The 3078-nt window shown below is 39.6% G+C and overlaps 1 annotated feature.

Annotated features, from left to right (window-relative positions):
* Positions 922-1535: an enhancer, noted in NCBI's record as "VISTA enhancer hs304". NCBI's record gives its function as "enhancer in: midbrain (mesencephalon)[3/6] | forebrain[5/6]" and the evidence as "EXISTENCE:transgenic organism evidence [ECO:0001131][PMID:17130149]".

The following is a 3078-nucleotide window of genomic DNA, read 5'->3' on the forward strand; positions in this document are numbered from 1 at the left end:
GGAAAAGTTCAGGATTTCTCAAACAGATAGCCTGGAAGTCGAGGCCTGCAAAGCAGTGGAGTGTAATATGGAAAGCCTGTCATAGAATATTAAATAACATAATAAGCATACCTCTGCTGAAATCTATAAACGAGCCATTTTCAGATTCCAATTATAAGCCAATATAACAATGTTTATTTTTTTCATAATTCCTTATCCTTTTTATGGACTATTTCCTCGTAAAAGAACTAGACAGCTTTTCCATCTTTATTGCCATTTGGTTCAGGATCTCTCCTTAGGGAGATTAGCTGATCATGAATATTATATATGTTTGAAATTTTCATTTTATCTTTACAAATAACACTGAAATTGAAAAGATTTTATGCCACTCTAATAGAGCCCAGTGAACATTTTAGGCATGTGGTTAGATTGGGCAATAATCAATTTTCCTAGAATTTGTTTTTACACTTATCCCTTGTCTTCCCTACTAGCTATATCACTCTACATAAATCTATAGAATTTTTGGAAAAGAAGATACTTCTGGCCGGGTGCGGTGGCTCACGCCTGTAATCCCAGCACTTTGGGAGGCCGAGGCGGGTGGATCACGAGGTCAAGAGATCGAGACCATCCTGGCTAACACGGTGAAACCCCGTCTGTACTAAAAATACAAAAAATTAGCCGGGCGTGGTGGCGGGCACCTGTAGTCCCAGCTACTCGGGAGGCTGAGGCAGGAGAATGGCGTGAACCCGGGAGGCGGAGCTTGTAGTGAGCCGAGATCGCGCCACTGCACTCCAGCCTGGGCGACAGAGCGAGACTCCGTCTCAAAAAAAAAAAAAAAAAAAAAAGGAAGATACTTCTAACATAAAATGCATGATTAGCCTCTCTTACTTCCCAATCTCAGAATCAAACCAGACTAACAATCTGCTCTGGATGTCTTTGAACAAGCTAATCCTGCCTCCTGCCTAAGGGTACTCTGGGAGATGATTGAAATTTTAAAGATATAAAAACACACTAAAATGGTAACAAATGACTCAGCAATGTGCCTTCTAAGGTGGACAGATTCTTGGTAGGCAGCCCTAATTGCTGCAATCGTTTTTAGGTATTCTAATGCACTCAGCTGAATTATGCACCACACTGCTTCTGAATGACACAGCCATTTCTGACTCCATTAATATGGAAGATTTCAGCCAAATGCTCTTAAACGATAGCTTCTCTTTATTTGTAATTTCAGACTCTATTGATTTCCTTCTGTTCCCTTCATTATGATTTCAATTGATTACCTTGGCAACTGCAATAACAATGATTGCACTTGACACTGTCTGAGACTCTTGAGATGGTATTTGAATAGGAATGGTATAATTTGGGGGAAAGTGCCTGCAAGAACCTGTCATTAGCAGTACACTTACACTTTACTTTTATTGACCTTCCTCTCTTTCGAGTGGGCCCTTGTCACAGAGTTGGCTGTTAACAGGGCTACAGTAGTAGTTCAGATTTCTGTGCCTCTTCAAAGAGTAAAAGATTATTATTATTAAAGAGAATGGAGTGGGCTTGCATATATACACACACGTACACACATTATACAGTGTCTGTGTGTGTGTGTGCATGTACACGCGCATGTGTAGCTTTTGCCTTTTTGCCAATGTTGCCAGCTGTGATTACCATTCAGGTCAACTTACCAGCTGGGGTGGGCATCTGATGATGGTTAAACTCAGGGCATTAGAGCTCAGATGAAAGACTCCAGCCAAGATTCGATAATGAATCCTGTACAATGTCTTTATTAGGCTTTTAAGAAAGAAGAAAACAAACAAACTTGCTTTATGTCATTGTCACAGCACAGAATTTAAAATTCACAGGCTCAACTGAGAATTGCTAGCTGTGAATAGTATGTAAGCTCTTGGGTCACCACGTAGCTCCACTGGCCCTTCCTGAAAGACTGTTTTCTCCATGAGATTCATGGAGGATATTGGCTGTGCAAAACAAGGGCATCTGTGGTCACACTTTCCTAAGTTTTTTCTTCTAGTGACGTTTTAATTAAATGGCCACCCATTTATCCTTTTGATAATAGCACATGTCTTCTGGAACAGAGTGAGGTGTTTGCCATGTTGGAGGGCTTCACAGGAATTTAGCAACCCTTAAGTTTCAGCCATTTTCTGCTGAGAGGCTCATGTTCTGTTCATTCTTTGGAAAATATGTAACACTCTGTTTCCCACCAAAATGTTTGGCTTTTTTATATAAGATTTACCTAGCAGCCTTAGTACAGTGAGAAGAAACACAAATTTGAGCTCCATAGACATGCTCTCTAGGCTCATTTCTACCATGCGCTATGTGAGCTTCTGCAAGCCAGTTTTTGTCTCTAGACCTCAGTTTATTCATCTGTAAAACAAGGGGATTAGATTCAATGATGTCTAAGGCCCTTTCTACTTCTATATTTTCATAAAATATTTAGCAAAGAAACTTGATGAGCCAGCTTATTATATATAAATGTCAATGAATTTAAGTAGGAGAGAAAATTCCTCGCATAAAATGTGCTTAGTGTGTGTAAAATCTGCAAATTTGAAAACAAACAAACAAACACCAAAGAGGTTTTCTGAATTCAAGCTATTTTCTTTTTCTCTTCAAAGTCATTCATCCTTGCCCTTGCTTGTGTAGCTCCATTGCTTTTGTTGAGCTGAAAGCTAATTAGATTTCATCATCTATTTCCTGTTTGTTTGGCAGACACAAGATTCTAGTCACACCCTCAACATAATGAACTTTTAGTTTGATATTTCTTAATTGTGTCCCACTGTGGTGTGTGAATATGTGCATGATGATTGTGTGTTGCCCACTCCATATCAGAGAGTGGTAACTCTCATACCTGTGTGATGTCGTTTCAGGGTCATACAAACTACATCGGTGACTTGCGTGACACAAGTCCTCAGGAGACACTTTATTTTGTTTTTATAATTTCAACTTTTTAGATTTAAGGGTACGTTTGCAGGTTTGTTACCTGGGCATATTGCATGATGCTGAAGTTTTGGATGTGAATGATTCCATCACCCAAATAGTGAGCATAGTAGCCGAGAGTTTATTTTTCAGCACTTTCCCTGCTTTCTTCCTCCC

Source organism: Homo sapiens, chromosome 9 (assembly GCF_000001405.40).
Source record: "Homo sapiens chromosome 9, GRCh38.p14 Primary Assembly".
NCBI lineage: Eukaryota > Metazoa > Chordata > Mammalia > Primates > Hominidae > Homo > Homo sapiens.